The sequence below is a fragment of the Homo sapiens genome, chromosome 16, assembly GCF_000001405.40.
Source record: "Homo sapiens chromosome 16, GRCh38.p14 Primary Assembly".
Taxonomy (NCBI): Eukaryota; Metazoa; Chordata; class Mammalia; order Primates; family Hominidae; genus Homo; species Homo sapiens.
The window spans coordinates 480,838-504,304 of record NC_000016.10 but is presented as its reverse complement, the minus strand read 5'-3'; the positions used below and the strand labels follow the sequence as shown (position 1 = coordinate 504,304).

At 54.2% G+C, this 23,467-nt stretch overlaps 1 protein-coding gene and 1 long non-coding RNA gene across 12 annotated transcripts in view, besides 7 other annotated features; one reads left to right on the top strand and one right to left on the bottom strand.

Annotated features, from left to right (window-relative positions):
• The window catches only part of RAB11FIP3 (RAB11 family interacting protein 3), a 97,363-nt gene that overhangs the window by 18,707 nt on the left and 55,189 nt on the right, over positions 1-23,467 (bottom strand). For 5 of the 11 annotated variants that reach the window (NM_001370401.1, XM_011522764.3, XM_005255715.6 and 2 more), the window contains 5 exons: positions 21,569-21,780; positions 15,305-15,454; positions 13,037-13,171; positions 7,446-7,481; positions 1,208-1,301 (listed from right to left, as the gene is read on the bottom strand). In NM_001370401.1, the coding sequence (NP_001357330.1) occupies positions 1,208-1,301; positions 7,446-7,481; positions 13,037-13,171; positions 15,305-15,454; positions 21,569-21,780 (627 nt within the window). Of the gene's footprint in view, positions 1-639; positions 1,042-1,207; positions 1,302-4,317; positions 7,014-7,445; positions 7,482-13,036; positions 13,172-15,304; positions 15,455-21,568; positions 21,781-23,467 lie in introns of those variants that run through there. The other 6 variants (NM_014700.4, NM_001142272.2, XM_017023907.2 and 3 more) reach the window with 5 other exon arrangements.
• Positions 8,766-9,343: an enhancer, noted in NCBI's record as "H3K27ac-H3K4me1 hESC enhancer chr16:544962-545539 (GRCh37/hg19 assembly coordinates)". NCBI's record gives its function as "activates a minimal SCP1, AML or CMV promoter by ChIP-STARR-seq in naive H9 embryonic stem cells {active_cell/tissue: H9 hESC(naive)}" and the evidence as "EXISTENCE:reporter gene assay evidence [ECO:0000049][PMID:30033119]".
• Positions 9,344-9,922: an enhancer, noted in NCBI's record as "H3K27ac-H3K4me1 hESC enhancer chr16:544383-544961 (GRCh37/hg19 assembly coordinates)". NCBI's record gives its function as "activates a minimal SCP1, AML or CMV promoter by ChIP-STARR-seq in naive H9 embryonic stem cells {active_cell/tissue: H9 hESC(naive)}" and the evidence as "EXISTENCE:reporter gene assay evidence [ECO:0000049][PMID:30033119]".
• On the top strand, positions 10,765-12,932 carry LOC107987417 (uncharacterized). Its single transcript, XR_007064933.1, has 3 exons — positions 10,765-11,736; positions 11,980-12,236; positions 12,323-12,932. It is a non-coding gene; the product is annotated as an uncharacterized LOC107987417 (long non-coding RNA).
• Positions 11,381-12,002: an enhancer, noted in NCBI's record as "H3K27ac-H3K4me1 hESC enhancer chr16:542303-542924 (GRCh37/hg19 assembly coordinates)". NCBI's record gives its function as "activates a minimal SCP1, AML or CMV promoter by ChIP-STARR-seq in naive H9 embryonic stem cells {active_cell/tissue: H9 hESC(naive)}" and the evidence as "EXISTENCE:reporter gene assay evidence [ECO:0000049][PMID:30033119]".
• Positions 16,334-17,212: an enhancer, noted in NCBI's record as "H3K4me1 hESC enhancer chr16:537093-537971 (GRCh37/hg19 assembly coordinates)". NCBI's record gives its function as "activates a minimal SCP1, AML or CMV promoter by ChIP-STARR-seq in naive H9 embryonic stem cells {active_cell/tissue: H9 hESC(naive)}" and the evidence as "EXISTENCE:reporter gene assay evidence [ECO:0000049][PMID:30033119]".
• Positions 18,761-19,266: an enhancer, noted in NCBI's record as "H3K27ac-H3K4me1 hESC enhancer chr16:535039-535544 (GRCh37/hg19 assembly coordinates)". NCBI's record gives its function as "activates a minimal SCP1, AML or CMV promoter by ChIP-STARR-seq in primed H9 embryonic stem cells {active_cell/tissue: H9 hESC(primed)}" and the evidence as "EXISTENCE:reporter gene assay evidence [ECO:0000049][PMID:30033119]".
• Positions 19,267-19,772: an enhancer, noted in NCBI's record as "H3K27ac-H3K4me1 hESC enhancer chr16:534533-535038 (GRCh37/hg19 assembly coordinates)". NCBI's record gives its function as "activates a minimal SCP1, AML or CMV promoter by ChIP-STARR-seq in naive H9 embryonic stem cells {active_cell/tissue: H9 hESC(naive)}" and the evidence as "EXISTENCE:reporter gene assay evidence [ECO:0000049][PMID:30033119]".
• Positions 21,797-22,302: an enhancer, noted in NCBI's record as "H3K27ac-H3K4me1 hESC enhancer chr16:532003-532508 (GRCh37/hg19 assembly coordinates)". NCBI's record gives its function as "activates a minimal SCP1, AML or CMV promoter by ChIP-STARR-seq in naive H9 embryonic stem cells {active_cell/tissue: H9 hESC(naive)}" and the evidence as "EXISTENCE:reporter gene assay evidence [ECO:0000049][PMID:30033119]".

Genomic DNA, 23,467 nt, shown 5'->3' with positions numbered 1-23,467 from the left:
GGGGGTACAGGAGGAGGTGAGGGGGGTACAGGAGGAGGTGAGGGGGTACAGGAGGAGGTGAGGGGGTACAGGAGGAGGTGAGGGGGTACAGGAGGTGAGGGGGTGCACAAGGAGGTGAGGGGGTACAGGAGGAGATGGGAGTGCAAGAGGAGGTGAGGGGGTACAGGAGGAGGTGGGGGGGTACAGGAGGAGGTGAGGGGGTACAGGAGGTGAGGGGGTACACAAGGAGGTGAGGGGGTACAGGAGGAGGTGAGGGGGTACAGGAGGTAGTGAGGGGGTACAGGAGGTAGTGAGGGGGTACAGGAGGTGGTGAGGGGGTACAGGAGGTGGTGAGGGGGTACAGGAGGAGATGAGGGGTACAGGAGGAATTGAGGGGGTACAGGAGTAAGTGAAGGGGTCACAGAAGGTGAGGGGGTGCAGAAGGTGAGACGGAGTCTCCCTCTGTCGCCCAGGCTGGAGTGCAGTCGTGCAATCTCGGCTCACTGCAACCTCCACCTCCCAGGTTCAAGTGATTCTCCTGCCTCAGCCTCCCAAATAGCTGGGATTACAGTTGCCCGCCACCATGCGTGGCTAACTTTTGTATTTTTAGTAGAGACGGGTTTTCACTATGTTGGCCAGGCTGATCTCAAACTCCTGACCTCAAGTGATCTGCCCGCCTAGGCCTCCTAATGTGCTGGGATTCCAGGCGTGAGCCACCACATCTGGCTGAAAAGCGGGTCTTGACCACGGCAAGGCTGCCTTGCCCTGGCTGCTGTCACCCATTCCATTCAAGGCCCCAGGAGAAGCCCGTTCCTCAGGCTGTTGGCTCTGCAGTAACTGCAGGGCCAGCCCTTTTCTCCCAAATCATGGGTGCCCCAGGTCGCGTCTCCATGGGCCTGGTGGACTGAATGTCTGGGTGTCCCCCAGCCCGACTCAGACACAGTGGGGGTGGGATACCCGAGGGTGCTCACTCACTGCCCAGTCCACTCCTCCCAGCTGGCCCTTCGTGCACAACAGGAAGACTCCTTTTTCTCACATGGCCACGAGACCCCTTGGGGAAACCTGCCAAAGAGCATCGGGGCTGGATGGACAGTCTGGGGAGCCCTGGAGGACATGGGGTCACCTCCGGCTGTGCTGTCCCCACCTCCCGGGGTGTCTGCAGCGGCCCTTAGGCGTGGCTGTGTTCTAAATCCCCTACTTGCCACCTACCCAGCCCTCCAGGGCCTACCTTGTCAGCAATGTCCTCCTCTGGGCCCTCCATGAGCTCGGGGGAAGGGTCCTCCAGGGCCTCCATGGTCAGGGCCCCTGACTGGTGCAGGTACCTACAGAAAAGGCACAACAACAGAGGGAAGAAAGGGAAAAACCACAGGACATGCTCCGTCAGCACAAGCACTCCCAAGTCAATCTGAAAAGCAGGCAGCAGCATTGCAGGGGACAGGTCCTCCCCTGATCTGGGTGGTGGTCTTCTCCCACTTAAAGCACTATATACAGGGGGAGGTCCCAGGCTGGACATCTTTACCAGGGGCTGGGAGAAAGCAGGCCGTGCTCTGTGGTCTCAGAGTCTTCCTGGCGCTCTTTGGAACCTGACAGAACATGACCTCAGTCCCAGCCAGCGAGTGGCAGAGAGGACTTTGTACTTGGCTGCAATAAAACATGCCCTTCTTCGCAGAGACACGAACAATCTCGTCTCTACCAGAGGCCTGTGAGACATCAGCTCAGGACCTTGACCTGCAGACACCTCCCCTGTGCACATTCTTGATCTCAGACTTTCACAGGTGCTTTCTGTGGCAGGAAGAGTGAGGGTCCCAGGAAAGGTGTGGATCCCAGAAGTCTCACTCAGTGTCACCCTCACGGACACACTGGGAAACTGGTCCGACCGAGTCCAGGAAGACAGCAGACACACGTGTCCTCTGTGGCACCAGCTCCTGTGGACACGCCCCCAGCACCGCAGGCCATGCCAGTTACTACCCGGGCCAGGCTCGGGGACACAGCCTCATGGTCCTGAGTAGACGCAAAGGCCCATAGGCTGCGGCCTTGGGGCAGGAGCTTCTCCAGGGAGTGTGAACTTAGGCGCGCAGTAAGCGCGTGCTTGTGGTCACCACGTGGTCAGATTCGCTGTGGTGAATCTGTACCAACCCAAACTTGCCGGGAGTACAGAAAACTCTCAGAGCACTCGCACAGAAGAGCCAACAGCAAAGGTGCGTGTTCAGTTCTTTATACATCCTGGGAACCTCAGTACCAAGCCAGGCTCCAGGCTGACAGCCTGATGCTCAGAACTGCGTGACCGTTAAAAAGCACTGGCCCTCTCCGAGCTTCCTTGCCTATGAAATGGGGGGACCCTCTCCCAGCCTCCTTGCCTATGAAATGGGGGGACCCTCTCCCAGCCTCCTTGCCTATGAAATGGGGGGACACTCTCCCAGACTCCTTGCCTATAAAATGGGGGGACCATCTCCCAGCTTCCTTGCCTATGAAATGGGGGATCCTCTCCGAACTTCCTTGTCTGTGAAATGGGGGGACCCTCTCTGAACTTCCTTGCCTGTGAAATGGGGGGACCCTCTCCCAGCTTCCTTGCCTATGAAATGGGGGACCTTCTCCGAACTTGTCTGTGAAATGGGGGGACCCTCTCCCAGCTTCCCTGCCTATGAAATGGGGGGAGCCTCTCTGAACTTGTCTGTGAAATGGGGGGACCCTCTCCCAGCTTCCTTGCCTGTGAAATGGGGGGACCCTCTCCCAGCTTCCTTGCCTATGAAATGGGGGACCCTCTCCCAGCTTCCTTGCCTGTGAAATGGGGGACCCTCTCCGAGCTTCCTTGCCTATGAAATGGGGGGACCCTCTCCCAGCTTCCTTGCCTATGAAATGGGGGGATCCTCTCCGAGCTTCCTTGCCTATGAAATGGGGGGACCCTCTCCCAGCTTCCTTGCCTATGAAATGGGAGACCCTCTCCGAGCTTCCTTGCCTATGAAATGGGGGGACCCTCTCCGAGTTTCCTTGCCTATGAAATGGGGGGACCCTCTCCCAGCTTCCTTGCCTATGAAATGGGGGTCTAGAGGCAACTGAGGTTTAACCAAGGTCATGCATACAAACAGCTTGGCTAGGGACGTAGCAGAGTAAGAATTCCATAAAATGTTAATATTTTTCCACTGAAAATGTCTACCAAGTGTATGAAGTTCGATTTGCTTCTCAGTACGGACTGGGCTTGAACATTTCCATCTTTTTCCCCATAAACGCTCTGAGGAGACAAGCCCTGTGAACGTGCACCAGCTGGAACACACCGGTGCCCTTCTGGGGCTCTGGGGATTTCATCAGATTCTCAAAAGCTGCTGCTGATACAGATCATGTTCTTGGCCAGTCGCTGCTCTTAAACGCCCATGACCTTGCCCCCAAACATGAGCCACTCCAGGCATGAAGCTGCAACCCAGAGCCCATCCTGAGAGGCCACGACCTGTCAGCACTTCTGAGCTGTCCTAGAGGCGTAGGCACTTCTGGGGCTGACTCGGGGACACAGCCATCCCCAGGCACCCAGCGTGCAGCCACCACACGTGGCCACCAACGTGAGGCAGAGGGTCCTCAGCATGGGTCATGCGGCTGCTTATTTATTTACTTATTTAATTTTTTTTTTTTTTTTTTTTTTTTTTTTTGCGACAGAGTCTTGCACTGTCACCTGGGCTGGAGTGCAGTGGTGCAATCTCAGCTCACTGCAACCTCTGCCTTCCGGGTTCAAGCCATTCTCCTGCCTCAGCCTCCCAGGTAGCTGGGATTACAGGCACCTGCCACCATGCCCAGCTAACTTTTTGTATTGTTTTTTTTAGTAGAGATGGGGTTTCACTATGTTGGCCAGGCTGGTCTCAAACTCCTGACCTCGTGATCTGTGCGCCTCGGCCCCCCAAAGTGCTGGGAGTACAGGCGTGAACCACCGCGTCCGGCTGGGGCTGCTTATTTAAATCCCCTAGAAAGAGGGATTCTCCAGCTACACCACACCCTCACTTGGAAGGACCCTCCTCCCAGAGAGGGAGCTGTGGAAAAAGCCTGACCTGCCCCACAGGGCAGTAGGTCGAGCCTGGCTGGTGAGCAAGGAGGTACGGGGATCCCTGAGGCCTCCCACCCAGGGCCCAGGGAGCCTGCCTGCTGTGAGCACTTCCTCCAGTCCTGATGGACTCGGCTCTGCCCGGAGCCCCCGGTCTCTGCACACACAGCTGACTGGAGAAAGCCACTTCCATCTCATGGACAGGGACAGAACAAGGCTGAGGGAGGTGAGCAATGCAGCCAGGCCCGGGGGCTACAATGGCTGCTGGCAAAACCCACCATCTCAGCAATAGTTCAGCGCGAAGGGCTGAGAACTGTGAGAAGCGAATCGCGACGTTTATTTTGCTCTTCCTTAGCCTCTTGTGGCAGATTTGGGGCAAAACAACAGATTAAATCTTGTGTACATATATTTACATGTGGATAGACACACTGCAGAAGAGGTCTCTGTTTTGTAAACTCTAACGACAGATAACTGCAGATGGAGCTTTTTTTTTTTTTTTTTTTTTTGAGACAGTCTTGCTCTGTCGCCCAGGCTAGAGTGCAGTGGCGTGATCTGGGCTCACTGTAACCTCTGCCTTCTGGGTTCAAGCAGTTCTCCTACCTCAGGCTCCTGAGTAGCTGGGATTACAGGCATGTGTGCCACCATGCCTAACTAATTTTTGTATTTTTAGTAGAGACGGGGTTTCACCATGTTGGTCAGGCTGTTCTTGAACTCCTGACCTCGTGATCCACCCACCTTGGCTTCCCAATGTGCTGGGATTACAGGCGTGAGCCACTGCGTCCGGCTCAGATTGGGCTTTTTTTATGCCAAAGGGTACCCGTGAAGGAAACATTAAATTTTAAAGGGTGTTTCTGACACAAGGCTGTGACAGCCAACTGCAGGCTGCGCCCCATCCTAGGCACGGGAGGCCTCAAGCAGATGCCTTAGCTGGCCTTGACCGGTCTTTCATGTCACCAGCTGCAGCCTGTCTGGAGTAAAAGACTTGATGAAGCGGGGAGGAAGGTGATGCTGAAGTGGTAACAGAAGTGTAGCTGGGGATGCACGTCACGTTCCTAAGAGCTCAATGCTTCTCTTTTTCTTTCTTTTTTTGAGATGGAGTCTCGCTCTTGTTGCCCAGGCTGGAGTACAATGGCACAATCTCGGCTCACTCCAAGCTCCGCCTCCAGGGTTCAGGTGATTCTCCTGCCTCAGTCTCCTGAGTAGCTGGGATTACAGGCACCTGCTAACACACCTGGCTAATCTTGTATTTTTTTAGTAGAGATGGGGTTTCTCCATTTTGGCCAGGCTGGTCTTGAACTCCCAACCTCAGGTGATCCACCCACCTCAGCCTCCCAAAGTGCTGGGATTACAGGCGTGACCTACTACGCCCGGCCAGCTCAATGCTTTTCTGAAAGGGGTGAGCAAGAAGACAGTTAGAAAAAGATGCATGATGACGTTCACCTCTGCTTCCTCTAGCCCCTAGCCCCTAGCCCCTAAAATGACAGAAAATGGAAAACAAGTGGGACGCGGTGGCTCCTGCCTGTAATTCCAACATTCTGGGAGACCGAGGTGGGAGGACTGCTAGAGCCCAGGAGTTCAAGACCAGTCTGGGCCTGTCTCTACAAAAAATTAAAAAATCATCTGGGTATGGTGGCATGCGCCTGTGGTCTCAGCTGCTCGGGAGGCTGAGGAGGGAGGATCATTTGAGCTTGGGAGGTCTGGGAAGTGAAAACTATTGAGAGCTGTGATGATGTCACTTCACAGAGCAAGACAGAGCAAGACTGTCTCAAAAAGAAAAGAAAGCCAAGAAAAGAGAAGAGAAACAAAAAGAAAAAAGTTTTCATCCATGGCCAGGTGTGACGGCTCATGCCTGTGATCCCAGTACTTTGGGAGGCCAAGGTGGGAGGATCCCTTCAGCCCAGGAGCTCAAGATCAGTCTGGGCAACGTAGTGAAACTCCATCTCTATTAAAAATTAAAAGACTAGCCAGGCATTGGCAATGCGCACCTGTAGTCCCAGGTCCTCAGGAGGAGGAGGTGGGAGGATGGAGTGAGCCTGAGAGGTCCAGGCTGCAGTGAGCTGTGATTGCACCACGGTACTTCAGCCCAGGTGACAGAGCAAGACAATGTCTCAAAATAAAAGAAAATGGAAAACAAAAGGTTTCTGTTCTTGGCTGGGTGTGGTGGCTTACCTCTGTAATCCGAGAATTTTGGGAGGCTGAGGTGGAAAGATTACTTAAGCCCAGGGAGTCTGGGGCTGTTGTGAGCTATGCTTGCACCTATGAATTGCCACTCACTGCACTACAGCCTGGGCAACGCAGCTAGACCTTGCCTATTTTCCTTTTTTTTTTTTAATTTTTAATTTTTAATTTTTTTTTTTTTTTTGTAGAGACAGGGTTTCACTAAGTTGCTCAGGCTGGTCCCAAAGAAACCGAGTCAGAAAGGTTAAACTTCATGGTAACAACTTTAGCTCTAGAAGATAAGCAATGCCGTCAAAAATCTTACAGGAAAATGATCCCACTCTCACAGTACAAACCAACCCAAGCTCAAGTTTATCTCCTGAGCACCTCTTTTCTCAAGAAGCTACAGGAAGATACGCTGGACAAAAACCAGAGAAAACAAATGAGAAGGAAGACGGGGCCAGGGAGCTAGAGGATCCAACCCCCGAAACAAAGGAACCCACCAGTGTGGGGAGACCTGTCCAGGACCACAGCCACGAGGCCTGGAGAACGCCCGGCACAACAGGGCAGAGAGGAGGCTCCAGAGGGGATGCTCCAGAGGAAGCTGGAGAGGCGTCTCCCAGCCCTGCCAGATGCCGGGCCACGAAGCAGGACGGGGACTAGGAAGGCAAAGCAGATAAAGACACAAAGGCAGACTCTGACGGCAGCAGAGGCCACCCGGCAGCCACACTGAGTGGCTCCCTGGGAAGGGCCTTAACCCTGCATGTTTATTTCGGTAAGAACTGGCAGGGGAGGAAGATAAAAGTGTATGTTGCCATCTTTCACAGCAGGAAGCCAACAGATCTATACGAAGCTGGAAAATGAAGAAATGGTCTTTAGGAATTGGAGTCAGACCCATCCCTCACCTTCGACTCACCTTGGGGAGCTGCCCAGACCCGGCTCTGAGAAGCCAGGCTCCTCACTGGGTCTCGCTACCTCAGAGCTAACATAGAGCAGACATCTGGGGATGGCGGCCCCTTCCAGACCTTAGTGAACACACAAGAGGCCCAGCACCAAAAGCTCTGACACGTACCCTCCCTGGTCACAAATCCAGGTCCAAATTCACAGCCCTGGAAACCCCTTTCCCAACACTCCTTCAGGATACCTTCAGCCCCAAACCATGTAAAGTAACTTGCAAGAGTTTAAAAAATACCTTGGAAAAGAACATTTTAAAATGTTTTTTAAAAAACTATGATTAATTATCCACTTCAGAACGTTTTTCAGCAGGAACCAGAGACCCACCTACCTTGCCACCTTCTTGCTGGAGAGCCGCTTTGTCGGACTGTGCAGAAAACAAAATAAACAGGAAAATTGTTAGAACAGACAGAGAGGAGCAGGAGGAAGCAGGAAACTCAGGCTGTGGAGATACGAGGTGGGCGGCCTTTCAGCAATGCTCCCGGCATGCAGGGCCCCCCAGGCAAGTCCATGCACAAATGCTCACTCAGCAAAACAGCAAGGACACGGCAGTGCTGGGGTGAGGCCGCATACGTCTCGTTACTCCAGCCCCCAAAGAGGCTTCCAGATGCAGCCACCCCAGACCACGACTGAGAGGCCAGCGCCACACCTGGTCCCACCCGCTGGCTGCACTGTCCCAATGCTTCTGAAGCCAAATTACCCCCAAACGCTTGGCCTTCGGAGGCCCCCAAGTGAAAAGTGACCCAGGCCCCGCTGTGACAGGAGAGTTTGCCGCTGGCTTCGACTCAGGCACTGATGCATCATGCTCAGAACGCCTGCCTAGGCATCAGTTTGGAAACCTTTCCCGTTGCCATTTCAGGGCAGTAAATATAGCCAATTATACATCAGCTGTCTGATTTAACCATCTGCAGTGGCACATGGGCCAAACTTACCTTCTCCCTCATTTCTGAGGTCCAAAGTTGTATTTTACAGTCTAGCTGCTGAACTATTAGCCTCAGCCTGCAGGAAGACACCCTCACCCCTGGGGCCTGGGAACCATCACGGTCCTGGAACTCACAAAGCCACGTCTCTCTTCAGCTTACCTGTCTCAAAAACACCTCTGATTTTCTTTCCAGGGTCAGGCAGAAAAGTCTACTGGAGGGGCCGGGCGTGGTGGCTCATGCCTACAATCTGAGCACTTTGGGAGGCTGAGGCGGGTGGATCTCCAGAGGTCGGGAGTTCGAGACCAGCCTGGCCAACGTGGAGAAACCCTGTCTCTACTAAAAATTCAAAAATAACCGGGAATGGTGGCGCATGCCTGTAATCCCAGCTACTCGGGAGGCTGGGACAGGAGACTCGCTTGAACCCGGGAGGCAGAGGTTGCAGTCAGCCGAGATCACGCCACTGCACTCCAGCCTGGGCAACAAAGAGTGAAACTCTGTCTCAAAGAAAAAAAGAAATCTACTGGAGGAGAATCAGCTGCTGTGCCAGGTATTAACGTAGAGCCCCTCAGCTCTAAGTCCATCCTTTTTACTTGCCCTGTAGAAACAGAGCTGGGCCCTTAGCAGGCTCTTCCTCCACAATGCTGCGTGTCATCAGCAGAGGGAGCCGAGGAGTGAACACAGCAGGAAGAGGTTTGCCTCCTGGTTCTGACCACTCTCTGCAGGGCCCTCCGACACCTGCAGTCTCCCCAGTACCTACTCCAGGGAGCATCCTGCCCACTGTAGCCAGAGCCAGGGGCTTCCCCGACCCCATTCGGGTAGCTGTTCTCTAGGGGTGCCTCTGCCAAGTGTCCTGCAACAGAATAGCTTTCCTGGCAGCCAGGAGGCAGGTTCCCCACAAGCCCTGACAGCACGGTGGTGTCCCCACCACGCCGTTTGCAGCTGGTGCAGACCTCAGCCCTGGGTGGCAGTGACTGTAGCTGGGGGGCTCTGCCCCGGCCCTGGGTGGCGGCTGCTCCTGTGCCTGCTGTCCCTACACTCTGCAGAGTTCTTTTTACTCATCCCAACCAGTGCCTCATTACTCCCATAGCCTGTGACATTCTTTTCCTTTCCCTAATGATTTTTTAAATTTTTTGTTTGTTTGTTTGCATTATCTTTTCTTAGAGGCAAGGTATGACTCTGTGGCCCAGGCTGAAGTGCAGTGGTGCAACCACAGCTCGCTGCAGCCTCGACCTCCCCGGCTCATGTGATCCTCCCACCTCTGCAGCCTCGACCTCCCCGGCTCATGTGATCCTCCCACCTCAGCAGCCTCGACCTCCCCGGCTCATGTGATCCTCCCACCTCAGCAGCCTCGACCTCCCCGGCTCATGTGATCCTCCCACCTCTGCAGCCTCGACCTCCCCGGCTCATGTGATCCTCCCACCTCTGCAGCCTCGACCTCCCAGGCTCATGTGATCCTCCCACCTCTGCAGCCTCGACCTCCCCGGCTCATGTGATCCTCCCACCTCAGCCTCCCAAAGCACTGCGATTTCAGCCCACACTCAGCCCATTCTTTGTAGTATTAAACTGTCCCTGTTCAAATTACTGTGTGGCTCTCCTTTCTCGACTGGAGACTAATAATGTATATTTTAATACAGGTTTTTTTTTTTAAGATGGAGTCTCACTGTGTCACCCAGGCTGGAGTGCAGTGGCATGATCTCGGCTCACTGCAAGTTCCACCTCCCGGGTTCACGCCATTCTCCGGCCTCAGCCTCCCGAGTAGCTGGGACTACAGGCGCCCGCCACCACGCCCGGCTAATTTTTTATATTTTTAGTAGAGATGGGGTTTCACCGTGTTAGCCAGGATGGTCTCGATCTCCTGACCTCGTGATCTGCCCACCTCAGCCTCGCAAAGTGCTGGGATTACGGGCATGAGCCACCGCACCCAGCCTTAATACAAATTTAATTTTATCTTATTATTGTTGAGACTCCCTAGAACTAATAGGACAGGACAGACTCATCGTTCAGTTTACCTACTGACCTTTCAGGGCCTGGACTGGCAGCCCAGCAACAGGATTTATAATTGAAAATACACCTCCAGGTGGCCAGGTGCGGTGGCTCACACCTGTAATCCCAGCACTTTGGGAGGCCGAGGCGGGCGGATCACGAGGTCCGGAGATTGAGACATGGTGAAACCCTGTGTCTACTAAAAATACAAAAGTTAGCCAGGTGTGGTGATGGGCGCCTGTAGTCCCAGCTACTCGGGAGGCTGAGGCAGGAGAATGGAGTGAACCCGGGAGGCAGAGGTTGCAGTGAGCCGAGATCGCACCACCGCACTCCAGCCTGGGTGACAGATCGAGACTCTGTCTCAAAAAAGAAAAAGATAATATACCTCCAGGCAGGCTGGGTGCAGTGGCTCAGCCTGTAATCCCAGCACTTTGGGGGGTCAAGGCGGGCGGATCACGAGGTCCGGAGATTGAGACATGGTGAAACCCCGTGTCTACTAAAAATACAAAAGTTAGCCAGGTGTGGTGATGGGCGCCTGTAGTCCCAGCTACTCGGGAGGCTGAGGCAGGAGAATGGAGTGAACCCGGGAGGCAGAGGTTGCAGTGAGCCGAGATCGCACCACTGCACTCCGGCCTGGGTCACAAAGCGAGACTCTGTCTCAAAAAAAAGAAAAAAGAAAATATACCTCCAGGTAAGGCACACTTCTTAGTTCCTACAAAATGAAATGTATTTAGAGGCTGCAGGGTACCTGGAAAATGCAACAGCTATTGGCCTGTTCTGAGGCGACTGGACATCGTATCTGACATCAAAGCTTCCAGAGGTGGTCTGGACTAAGTCACCTGTTGCCACCCACAAAGCATGACCAAATAAGCTTACTTTCAGGCAAGTCCATGGAAACTAAAACGCAAGATTCAGATCTCCTCCACTAAGGGTTATGGGGAGGATGTTCTGACTGGCAGTTGTGTGTCCTGATTGTGTTGAATTGAATAGCATATTAACCACTTGGTAGAGTCTTTTTTTTTTTTTTTTTTTTGGAGTCAGAGTTTGGCTCTGTTGCCCAGGCTGGAGTGCAGTGGCAGGATGTTGGCTCACCACAGCCTCCACCTCCTGGGTTCAAGTGAACCTCCCATCTCAGCCTCCCAAGTAGCTGGAACTACAGGCATGTGCCACCATGCCTGGCTAATTTTTATGTTTTTAGTAGAGACAGGGTTTCGCCATGTTGGCCAGGCTGGTCTCAAACTCCTGGCCTCAAGTGATCTGCCTGCCTCCTCAGCCTCCCAAAATGCTGAGATTACAGGCGTGAGTCACTGCGCCTGGCCCGCTTCATAGAGTCTTAGGAAAAGGGGTAGCAGAACCTGGACGTGAGGCTCCACAGGACTTGCTAGTTGTACTTAGCTACATCCTAGTCCCTTCTCTGCCCCCACAAAGCCCAGCAGAGGCGACCATGGCCATCTTGGAGCTAGTTCTCAATGTGGGAAAAAATCAGTTCTATGTCAAAAATCTTCAGAAAATGAGAGACGAGACCTGAGTCTTCAGGCTTACTTTCATGTACGGAGATGACATGCTTGCACTCAACTTATCGGTGAGTGGGAGGGCAAGTCTCTGCGTGGGAAGAACAAATGGCCCCTCCCCAAGCAGGCTGAGCCATCGTCGCCGGGCCTTGAACCCCTAGCTGAACACACACGCAGGCAGAAACTGATTTCCCCTAAAACAGAGGTTAGCGGATCTTTGGAATCCAAGATTCTGGACGGCCTCGGGTCTCCCGGGAGGGCCCTGGGCGGCCTCGGGTCTCCCGGGAGGGCCCTGGGCGGCCTCGGGTCTCCCCGGGAAGGGCCCTGGGCGGCCTCGGGTCTCCCGGGGAGGGCCCTGGGCGGCCTCGGGTCTCCCGGGGAGGGCTCTGGGCGGCCTCGGGTCTCCCGGGAAGACCCTCTTCAAAGAGCACTTCTGCTTTCTCACCAGTGCTGCCAAGACCCCCGATGCTCCAGAATGGCCATCAGTGCCGGGCCCCACCCCCATCCTCTCCACCTGAATGGGCACTGGCTGGGGGCCCTGTGCTTCACAGCATTTCACAGAACATAAGAAGAGTTAAGTGCCCTGGAAATGGAACTAGAGGCAGGACAGAAGCCTCAATAAGGCCGTGGGCAGTGAGCGCCCGCCAGCAAGGATGTGCCTCGGCAGAAGCCCCCTGGGGCAGGGACAGGGCAGGCTCAAGACAGGTAAGCAGTTTCACAGATACCTCTAAACATGCTAGAACCGTCAGGATAACTCACCTTTCTGCCACCTTTACAAACCCTCCCCACAGGCCAGGTCCCGTTCTTCAGGAAGCCGTCCCAGATTGCCAGCATGAGCCTGTATGCTCACTCACCTCTTCTGCTAGGCTAGGGCTGCTGTGGAAAGCTCCAAAGTGGCCCGTTTCTTCACCAGACCCTTCTGGAGAGCTGCCCACCCAGGGGCTTCACCGCAAGCGAAATCAACACGATGCCCAACGGGCACGTCAATATGTGCAAAGCACTCAAAACCGTCTTCTGTAACTGGGAGTTAGACATGAGGGCCAGCCACAAGAGCTCCCCTGCTGAGACACAGTGAGCTCCCTCACACGCTCACTGTGAGTATTCAAAACTCCATTTAAACTGACAATCCTGAAAGCTGTTTACATATCTGTTCTTAAAGACTAAATCTTTAACTTTCCCAATTCTGTCTCATGAGCTCAATGAAAGAAATCTTTTAGTAAAATGCAGAAAGTATCCTCTTTCACACACAGGACAGACAGCACAGCTTGCAAAGACCGATCACTTCCTCCCACCAAGACAAGCACTGGCCTGGGCTGCGCATGCAGGGGAGGAGGCAGGGCCCTGGTGGCCCCACAGCGTGCAGGGTGGGAGGCGGGGCCCCAGGGAGAGTCCCGCTGCCTGAGAGGCTCCTGGTCGCCTCGGGGCAGGCCCTCAAGGGGGCTGTGGGTATCCGGAGTCCCCCACACCCTGGGAACAGACAGCAAGGCCAGGCGCTGGTCAGTTACCTATTCATTTCAAGATCACTCAGGCGGGCAGAAAGATCCTCAAGGCGGTTGATTTGTTTGTGGCACTGGCTACAGTAAAACTCAAACGCCTCATCAGTGAGGATGCTGTGCAGCTTTGCGGCAAGAGGGTCAGTGCTAGAGAGACAGAAGCATCCGTTCAGGAGAGGATGAGGACCCGTGTGGTCATCTGTGACTCCGCACGAGGGGCCGAGGGGAACAGGACAGGACATGGTGTGGAACAAAAGCACGTGGAGAGAGAATGAGCTGTGCAATGTTCTGGCTCTTGCCTTTAGACCGCAGTGAGCCCACATCCCTCAGCTGCCTCCAGGAGCCCAGGACAGGCACCAGCTCGAGCCTCAGGGGGCCCTGCACACACCTGCTCCTCTGGGTCGGGTGCCCAGAAGAAAGCAGGGGCAGCCTGAGAGCCTCCTTGCAAAGCAAAAGCCCTTCTTTAACAAGAAGGTAAAAAACCATACTGCTTTCTCTTTTGCCAAAAACACATCAATGTGATAGCGAACCATGTCTCCGGGTAAACTTGTACTTACTGTACTATATTTATGATTACTCCAAAAACCACCTCTAGCAAAAACTATGCATGAATGATAAATCTACAATAGTTTTGTGATTTTTTAAGATGTGCGTTAAAGCCGGGCATGGTGGCTCCTGCTTCTAATTCCAGCACTTTGGGTGGATCGCTTGAGCTCAGGCGTTTGAGACCAGCCTGGGCAACATGGTGAACCCGTCTCTACAAAAAATACAAAATTAGCCCGGCGTAGTAGCTCATACCTGTAGTCCCAGCTACTCAGGAAGCTGAGGGAGGTGGAGGCTGCAGTGAGCCATGATTGCACCACTCCAGCCTGGGCAATAAAGTGAGATCCTGTCTCAAAAAACCCCCAAAAAGACCGACCTGTCGAAACTCAGTGTTAGATTTTGTGGTGGTGCTAGCTAACCTCCCTGTGACTTCACCTCCAAGGGCTTCTGGGCCACTGGCAGGGGTGCTGCGTCTGCGACGCGAAGGCAAAGGAGCAAAGGCAGCCTCATCGCGGGCGCTGGGACCCACATGCTGTGGGAAACCATTTGGAAGCTCAAGTAAAGAAAGGTGAAAAGTGAAACATACAATGTAGCATAGACATTACACTTCAAACAGGTAACAATGAAAACACTGAACAGGAGACAGGGACAAACTAAACACGTAGGAAGAGGTGATTACCAAGCACAGAGACCCAAGTTTAGAAACGCCCCAGTCCTCTGGCCCTTGTCTTGACACCACCACGCGCTGGGAGAGGAAAGTGCCTAAGACAAGCACACTGCCTCTGAGGACCGTCTGTGATGCCTCACTCATGCACAGCTCTCCCAGGACGCTCGCCGGGACCAGAGCACACAGGATATCCGTGCAGGGTCCCCACACCCAGGGCTGACGGGCGGCTTCAAGGAGGGCACATGGGAAACAAAAGGAGGGGGACCCTATGGGCAGACGAGCTGCTCAGCCCCTCCTGCACCGCCCTCCACCCAGGTTCCCTGGGCCTCAGTAACAGCGGGCGGGCAGCAGGCAAGGGAAGACTCTTGTGGCTGCTTAAAGAGGCTCGGCCTTGACTGCTGGCAAAGATGGACGACAACCTAGTAGCAAAGGGGAGAAGGGATTGAAGTAACAACCCCATCGGCCAGCCCAGGGTCTCCCTGAAGTCAGGAGCGTCCTAGAGGGACTGACTCCCACGTGGGAGCCCCTAGCCCTCAGAAGTACGTACCCAGACCCCCATGTTCGGATCCAAGCCAAGAGGACTCTGGACTCCCTAGAGTGACTCTGGACATTTGTGAGTGGGCATCTCGCCCACTGCGTGTTGTGCTTCTATTTATTCAGAGTCACAGCTTTCCAGTTTGGGGATGTCAGATATTTATAAGGAAATGAATCTGAAGACTCACTTATGATCATGAGGCCTCCCTCAAAAGCCTGCACAGACCACCATGTGATCCACGGCCCACAGCAAAGGAGCCCGCAAGCCAAGTGTGCAAACACAGCTCTGTGCCACAGGATTTTGCTGAAGCCTCAGAAATGTAGAGTGATCTGGGGATGTGGCTGGAGAAGAGGGACTTCTCCCAACTTTCATAAATCCAGGTATAAATTTAAAATGTTTGAATATGGTTTACTTAATCACATGACGTCAAGGAAAGCAAGTTCTCTCACCAATGCACGAACCAAAAAGGGAAACTTCCCACTACTAACCACGGGAAGAAGAGGGAGGAGGGTGTGCTGGAACAAGGCGTCATTACCTGGGCGTGAGGAAAGCGGGGTCACTGCAGCCCAGCTGCCCGTTGCATAGGGTCTCTGGGGACAGCTCCGCCTCACTGCCTTCACCGTAGTCCTCAAAGTGCTCCTCGCCCCCGATCACCGTGATGACAGACTGGCCATGGGGGTGAGGCCTGCAAAGTAAAACAGAAATGATGTCTTCTGACTGAAGGCCAGGGCACCCCCGAGCTGAGGGTGTGGAAGGTGCTTTCCATAGGGTGTGCTACAAGCCACACGTGAGTCCTGGGAGCCACGTTTAAAAAAAAAAAAAAAGTGGGCTGGATGCGGTGGCTCACACATGTAATCCCAGCACTTTGGGAGGCCAAGGCGAGCAGATGGCTTGAGCTCAGGAGTTTGAGACCAGCCTGGGCAACAGGGGGAGGCCTCAACTGCAAAAAACATTTTTAAATCACCCAGGCATGGATGCGCACGACTGTAGTCCCAGGTACTCGGGAGGCTGAAGTGGGAAGATCGCTTGAGCCTGGGAGGCCAAGGCTGCAGTGAGCAGTGATGATGCCACTACACTCCAGCCTGGGTGACAGAGCAAGGCCCTGTCTCAAAAAAAAAAAATAAATAAATAAATCTGTTTCTTTACCTTTTTTTTTGAGACAGAGTCTGGCTCTATCGCCCAGGCTGGAGTGCAGTCGTGCAATATCGGCTCACTGCCAGCTCCGCCTCCCGGGTTCACGTCATTCTCCTGCCTCCACCTCCCGAGTAGCTGGGACTACAGGCGCCCGCCACCACGCCCGGCTAATTTTTTGTATTTTTAGTAGAGACGGGGTTTCACCGTGTTAGCCAGGATGGTCTCGATCTCCTGACCTCGTGATCCACCCACCTCGGCCTCCCAAAGTGTTGGGATTACAGGCGTGAGCCACCACGCCTGGCCCGAATATATTTTAACAAAAAATTTTACTTAGCCCAACACGCAGTCATTTCAAAACCTCCAGCCTCTTCACACTCCTCACTCGTGTGCCCTCCCACGTCACAAGTTCCGCAGCCCCACACAGGACAGCACAGGTCGACACAAAGCAGCATCTGGGTTCAAGCACCTCTGCCTCTTCCCTAGGGAGCTGCTGTCCTCACACAACCACTGGGGGGCGCCGTTCAAACTCTACTTTAAGCTAAAACGTAACAGCAGCTGCGACAGGGAAAGGAAGGGGCTTCCAAATACCCACCCTCCTTCTGAAGGGAGTGACTCCTCCACAGCCAAGTTCTGGAAAACACAGCGGCCGGGGGCCATGTGAAACAGCTGTGCCTTCAGCGGCTCCTGTGCCCTAGCGGTCCCCACTCCCACCCTCCCGCAGGAGTCCTCGGGAGAACCTTCTGTGCAGGCCCGGCGCTGCTCCACTCCAGGAAAGAAAGGGGCCTGGCAGAGTGAGGCGACTCCTCGTGCCCAGGAGAAGGGGGCAGAGTCAGGAGGACCGCGCGCTCTGCTCCGCCCGGACCCACTGTGCTCAGCCGTGAGGAGTTCCAATTTCACACCCGCAGAAATGCCCACCACGCACCACTGCTGGGACAGCTCAGGATGAATCCCATGGCCTCAAACACGCAGGCTTAAACCAGGGCCGGGGGCGGTGGCTCACACCTGTAATCCCAGCACTTTGGGAGGCCGAGGCGGGCAGATCAGGAGATCGAGACCATCCTGGCTAACACGGTGAAACCCTGTCTCTACTAAAAATACAAAAAATTACCTGGGGGTGGTGGCGGGTGCCTGTAGTCCCAGCTACTCGGGAGGCTGAGACAGGAGAATGGTGTGAACCTGGGAGGCGGAGATGGCAGTGAGCCGAGATCGCGCCACTGCACTCCAGCCTGGGCGACAGAGCCAGATTCCGTCTCAAAAAAAAAAAAAAAAAGAAACCAAAACCAGGAGGCCTGTGCCACTTCATGGCCTCCCAATAGGGTCTTCAACTTGGCGCTGCCTGTCTGCATCAGCCCCTTCCTTCCTACACAGTGACAGGGAGGTGTGGCTCCCTTCCACAGCCGCCATCTAAAATTAGGCTACGTTACAGGAAGACCTTATTTTCTGTTTCTTATGATTGGGTGCTTGTTTTACCAACAGGCTCAGATACTGTGACAGAAAACTGCCCTCTGAGGGGAGGAGAATCAGCGAGAGGAAAACACACACTGGTCCATCGGCCAGCAGGCCCTTCCCCGCCTCCCCGGGCCACCATGGTGAAACCTGCTACTCCCTCAGAAGCAATGACGAGGGGCTCAGCACCCCTCACCACCCCATCTCCTCCTCTCCTCAGGACACTTCTTCCTGATGCTTGACGGGAACAGAGAAGGCCCACATGCAACGTCACACTGAGGACCAAGAGGCCCAGGCCACACGGCAGAGACTGTATGAACCGGACGGTCTGCACCCAGACGCCCAACGTGCTTTCCACGGTCCACAGAAGATGAGCCGCGCTAGCTAGCAGTTAGATCCAGCCACAAATGAGCTGTTCAAAATGTGTGTCCCCCAAAAGAGTTATACTTTTGTTTTCATTTTTGAGATAGAGTCTCGCTCTGTCGCCCAGGCTGAAATGCAGTGGTGCCATCTCGGCTCACTGCAAACTCTGCCTCTCTGGGTTCAAGCGATTCTCCTGCCTCAGCCTCCCGAGTAGCTGGGATTACAGGTGCGTGCCACCAGGCCCAGCTAGTTTTTGTATTTTTAGTAGAGACGGGGTTTTACCAAGTTGGCCAGGCTGGTCTCAAACTCCTGACCTCATGATCCACCTGCCTCGGCCCCCCAAAGGGCTGGAATTACAGGCATGCCCCACCAAGAGTTATACTGCTTAAAAACTAGTGAGAAAATACTCGCCTGTAATCCCAGCATTTTGGGAGGCCAAGGAGGGCAGATCACTTGAGGCTGGCAGTTTGAGGTCAACCTGGCCAATATGGCGAAACCCTATCTCTACCAAAAATACAAAAAAATTAGCCAGGCATGGTGGCGGGCGCCAGTAGTCCCAGCTAATCAGGAGGCTAAGGCAAGAGAATCACTTGAATCTGGGAGGCAGAGACTGCAGTGACCCAAGATTGTGCCACTGCACTGCAGCCTGGGTGACACAGCAAGACTGTCTCAAAACAAAGCAAAACAAAATAAAAAAATTATGTAGCGATCACAGATCTGAATATGAAGGTAAAACAATAACACTTTTAAAAGAAAGCGTAAGTAAACATCATAGTGACTGTGTAGTAAGCAAAGATTTATCAAGTGGGACACAAAAGTGCTAATAAACATAAAAGAAAAATGGATAAGCTCAACTATAGCAAAATTAAAAACATCTGTTCTGGCCAGGGGCTGTGGCTCATGCCTGTAATCCCAGCACTTTGGGAGGCCAACGTGGGTGGATCACAAGGTCAGGAGTTCGAGACCAGCCTGGGCAAGATGGTGAAACACTGTCTCTACTAAAACTACAAAAATTAGCTGGGCGCCATGGCAGGTGCCTGTAATCCCAGCTACCTGGGAGGCTGAGGCAGGAGAATCACTTGAGCCTGGGAGGCAGAGGTTGCAGTCAGCCAAGATGGCGCCACTGCACTCCAGCCTGGGCGACAGAGCTAGACTCCATCTTGACAAAAAAACAGAAACAAAAATCTGTTCCTCAAAAGGTGAAAAGGAGACCCACAGAGCAGCAAAAAGGATCTGTGATACCCACACCCCATAAGGGACTCATATCGAAAGGACTCCTATAATCAGTGAGAAAAAGACAGAGGACCCAACAGACCAGGGGCAGGCCAAGTCCTGCCAATCCTGCGCAGCCTGTTTCTGAAAATTGTTTCACTGGGACACAGCCACGCTCACTGACCCACGTGCCTTTGGCTGCTTCTGCAGCACAACAGCCGGGCTGAGCAGTTGCCACGGGGGCTGCGTGGCCTGCAACTCTTCTAGAGAAAAAGTCTGCAGACCCCTCCCGCAAGCAGTGAGCAGGCAGAGGAGCTCCCACCCTGACAAAAGGTGCATGCCTTATTAGTCACCCGGGAAGCGCAAGTAAAAAGCATGTGGCAGGGTCTCTGCATGCCCCCCACAAGGTGAGCAGGAGAGCAGACATGGCCACATGCTGCTGAGGTCAGGGAGCCCAGGAGCCACAGATGCCGGAGGCTGGTGACCCTGCAGCCCCTGCAGGAACTTGCAAGGCTGAAGGGACGTGCTCCCGATGACCATCCTGCTTAGGGCCGTACCATGCTCCCAAAGACATGGAATCCCTACAGCAGTTTCACCCTCAAAGCCAACGACAGTGAACTACCCGCTGCCGCCGACAGGAGAGTCAACTCTAGAGTCGCAGCACGCTCTCGCAATAGAATCATAAAAGTCAACAGTTTACAGCAATGCACAAAAATAGGGCTGAATACGGCCAGACGCGGTGGCTCACACCTCTCATCCCAGCACTTCGGGAGGCCGAGGCGGGCGGATCGCCTGAGGCCAGGGGTTGGAGACCAGCCTGACCAACATGGTGAAACCCCGTCTCTACTAAAAAATACAAATATTAGCCGGGCGTGGTGGCGGGCGCCTGTAATCCCAGCTACCCGGGAGGCTGAGGCAGGAGAATCGCTGGAACCTGGGAGGCGGAGGCTGCAGTGAGCTGAGATCGCACCACTGCACTCCAGCCTGGGCGACAGAGCGAGACTCCGTCTCAAAAAAAAAAAAATGGCTAAATCCACAAGCGCAACAGCAAGTGGAAGAAGCCAGGCACAGGAAGGACCTCCCTGTGTGGGGGAACTTAAGGAAGATGCAGGGCCGGTGGAGAGCTGGCTGCTGTCAGGGGCCTGGGAGGACCCTGGGTGCGGGAGTGTTTTGTTCTTGCCTGAGAAAAGGGCCGTGGGAATGGTCAGTTTGAAAAACCTGCTGGCTGTGCACTTACAACATGGGCACTTACTTGTGGGTATATTATGTTGGCAAAAAGACTTAAGCTCTGTAAAATATTTGAAGAGGTTTATTCTGAGCCAGATAAGAGTGACTAACAGCCCGTGATGCCGCCCCAGGAAGCCCTGAGAGCATGTGCCCAAGGGCCGGGTTTATGCATCTTGGGGAGACAGAAGACATCAACCCTACATGCAAGATGCTGCTTCAGTCAGGAAACATGGGACGGCTCTAAGCGGGGGACGGGCGGGCTTCCAGGTCAAAGCAGATGCGAAGATCTTCTGACTGGCAGTTGTTTGTTTGAAAGAGTTATTATCTAAAGACTTGGAATCAATAGAAAGGAATGCCTCGGCTTAAGATAAGGGGCTGTGGAGACCAAGGCTTTATCAAGCAGATGAGGCCTCCAGGCAGCAGGCAGCAGACCTCACAAGGTGCCAGACTCCGAGTTAATTCCCTCCTGCACCAGGGAAAAGACCTGGGAAGGGAGGAGATTCTCTACAGGGTGCAGACTTTCCCCACAAGACACAGTCCTGTAGAGCCATTCTGAAAAATGTCAAAGAAATCTATTTTGGGGTAAAATACTCGGATTTCTTTCAGGGCCTGCCACCTGTCATGTGATGCTACACTAGAGTCAGGCTGGAATGTGGTGTGCTGTCGCTGCTATAAAAAGTCCGCCTTTGTCAGAGTCTGTTTAATGTGAATGCTGGTCAGCTGGGCCTCAGTTCCAAAGGGAGGGGCCCAATGAGGCCTGCCTGACCTCCCTAACCATGGCCTGAACTACATTTTCAGGTTGACTGAGCAACGCCTGAGGCTGAGAGAGGGGGTCCATCAGTTGGCTGAAGGCTGAGAATTTAATTTTTGCTTCACAATTACACTTCAGCGTGCTGAGCGGACTTTCCAGTAGCAGGGGCAACACGGAAAGCAGGTCCACGTGAGCCACTGGACACCTCCTTCATCTGACCTTCTCCCAGACTCTGCCCGTCCCTCTACTCCGGCCCCAACTAGCTCGAAATACGGGGGCTACAGAAATCCTGAGGGTGGGGGACAGGTGGGGAGAGAACATGGCCTCCTCAGGGGTGCTGCAAAGGTGAACGGGTTCCAAAACCCTGCCGAGACATTCACTTCTATAATTTCTATCTCTACAGCTAAAGATGTTGAGCAACATTTGAAACCACAGTCGTCCTGACAGGAAAGTCAGCTGGAACAGGGAGACTGCTCGGGCAAGGCGGGCAGGACGGTGTGGGCTCATCCCAGGAAGGTCAGGAGCTACTGCAGGGCCAAGCCCCACCCCCACATAATGGATGCTAACCAGCACGCACTCCTCCAAGACCCCAGTCTGCCCATCAGACACCTCCACAGGGTGCCACATCCCAAGGCCTCTCCAGGAGGCCCGTGGCGGGGTACAGACCTGCCTGGGAGCAGCAGCAGGGCACCATGGTCGGGCTCCTCCATGGCGTCCAGGCACTCAGAGGGCACGGCCGAGCCGCCGGCACTGTCTGCGTCCCCTTCAGGTTGCAGCTCAGGGTGCACCAGGGTGCTGGTGTCCTCGTCCGTGAAGGTCTCACACTCACTGTAGGTGCTCTCGGAGCCCATGTACGCGCTGTCCGTCACCTCGTTGGCCTAGGAGAGAGTGCGCCAGCAGTCAGCGGGCACAAGCTGGGAGGGGAACTGCGAACGCCCCACACCTCACTGCTGCAAGGCCCTGGAGAGGGCAGTGTGGAGGGAGGGGTCTGACGCCTGAAGTCCCAACTGTCTCTAAGCAGAGACATTACTTATAAAACACAATTCAGGCTGGGCGCGGTGACTCACGCCTGTAATCCCAGTACTTTCGGAGGCCTCGGTGGGTGGATCGCTTGAACCCAGGAGCTCAAGACCAGCCTGGCCAACAAAGTGAAATTTGTCTCTACCAAAAATACAAAACTTACCTAGATGTGGTGGCACCTGCCTGTAGGTCCCAGCTACTCAAGAGACTGACGGAGGAGCTTGCCCAGGTGCGGTGGCACCTGCCTGCAGGTCCCAGCTACTCAAGAGACTGATGGAGGAGCTTGCCCAGGTGCGGTGGCACCTGCCTGCAGGTCCCAGCTACTCAAGAGACTGACGGAGGAGCTTGCCCAGGTGCGGTGGCACCTGCCTGCAGGTCCCAGCTACTCAAGAGACTGACGGAGGAGCTTGCCCAGGTGCGGTGGCACCTGCCTGCAGGTCCCAGCTACTCAAGAGACTGACGGAGGAGCTTGCCCAGGTGCGGTGGCACCGGCCTGCAGGTCCCAGCTACTCAAGAGACTGACGGAGGAGCTTGCCCAGGTGTGGTGGCACCTGCCTGTAGGTCCCAGCTACTCAAGAGACTGACGGAGGAGCTTGCCCAGGTGTGGTGGCACCTGCCTGTAGGTCCCAGCTACTCAAGAGACTGACGGAGGAGCTTGCCCAGGTGTGGTGGCACCTGCCTGTAGGTCCCAGCTACTCAAGAGACTGACGGAGGAGCTTGCCCAGGTGTGGTGGCACCTGCCTGTAGGTCCCAGCTACTCAAGAGACTGACGGAGGAGCTTGCCCAGGTGTGGTGGCACCTGCCTGTAGGTCCCAGCTACTCAAGAGACTGACGGAGGAGCTTGCTTTTTGTTTTTTGGGGGTTTTTTTTTGAGACAGGGTCTCACTCTTATCGCCCAGACTGGAACGCAGTGGCATGATCTCAGCTCACTGCAACCTACGTGGCCTGTGTTCAAGTGATTCTCCTGCCTCAGCCTCCTGAGTAGCTGGGAAGACAAGCATGTACCATCATGCCTAGCTAAGTTTTGTATTTCTAGTAGAGACGGGGTTTCACCATGTTGGCCAGGCTGGTCTCAAACTCCTTACCTCAGGTGATCCACCCACCTCAGCCTTCCAAAGTGCTGGGATTACAAGAGTGAGCCACAGCGCCAGCCAGGAGGACCATTTGAGCCCAAAAGGTCGAGGCTGCAGTGAGATGTGATCACACCACTGTGCTCCAACCTGAGTGATAAAGACCCATCTCAAAAAAATTAATTAATTAAAAATAAATATAACAGCTGGCCGCAATGGCTCACGACTGTAATCCCAGCACTTTGGGAGGCCGAGGCAGAAGGATCACCTGAGGTTGGGAGTTCGAGACCAGCCTGACCAATATGGAAAAACCCCGTCTCTACTGAAAATACAAAATTAGCCGGGTGTGGTGGCGAACTCCTGTATCCCAGCTACTCAGGAGGCTGAGGCAGGCAAATTGCTTGAACCAGGGAGGTGGATGTTGTGGTGAGCTGAGATCACTCCATTGCACTCGAGCCTGGGCAACAAGAGCAAA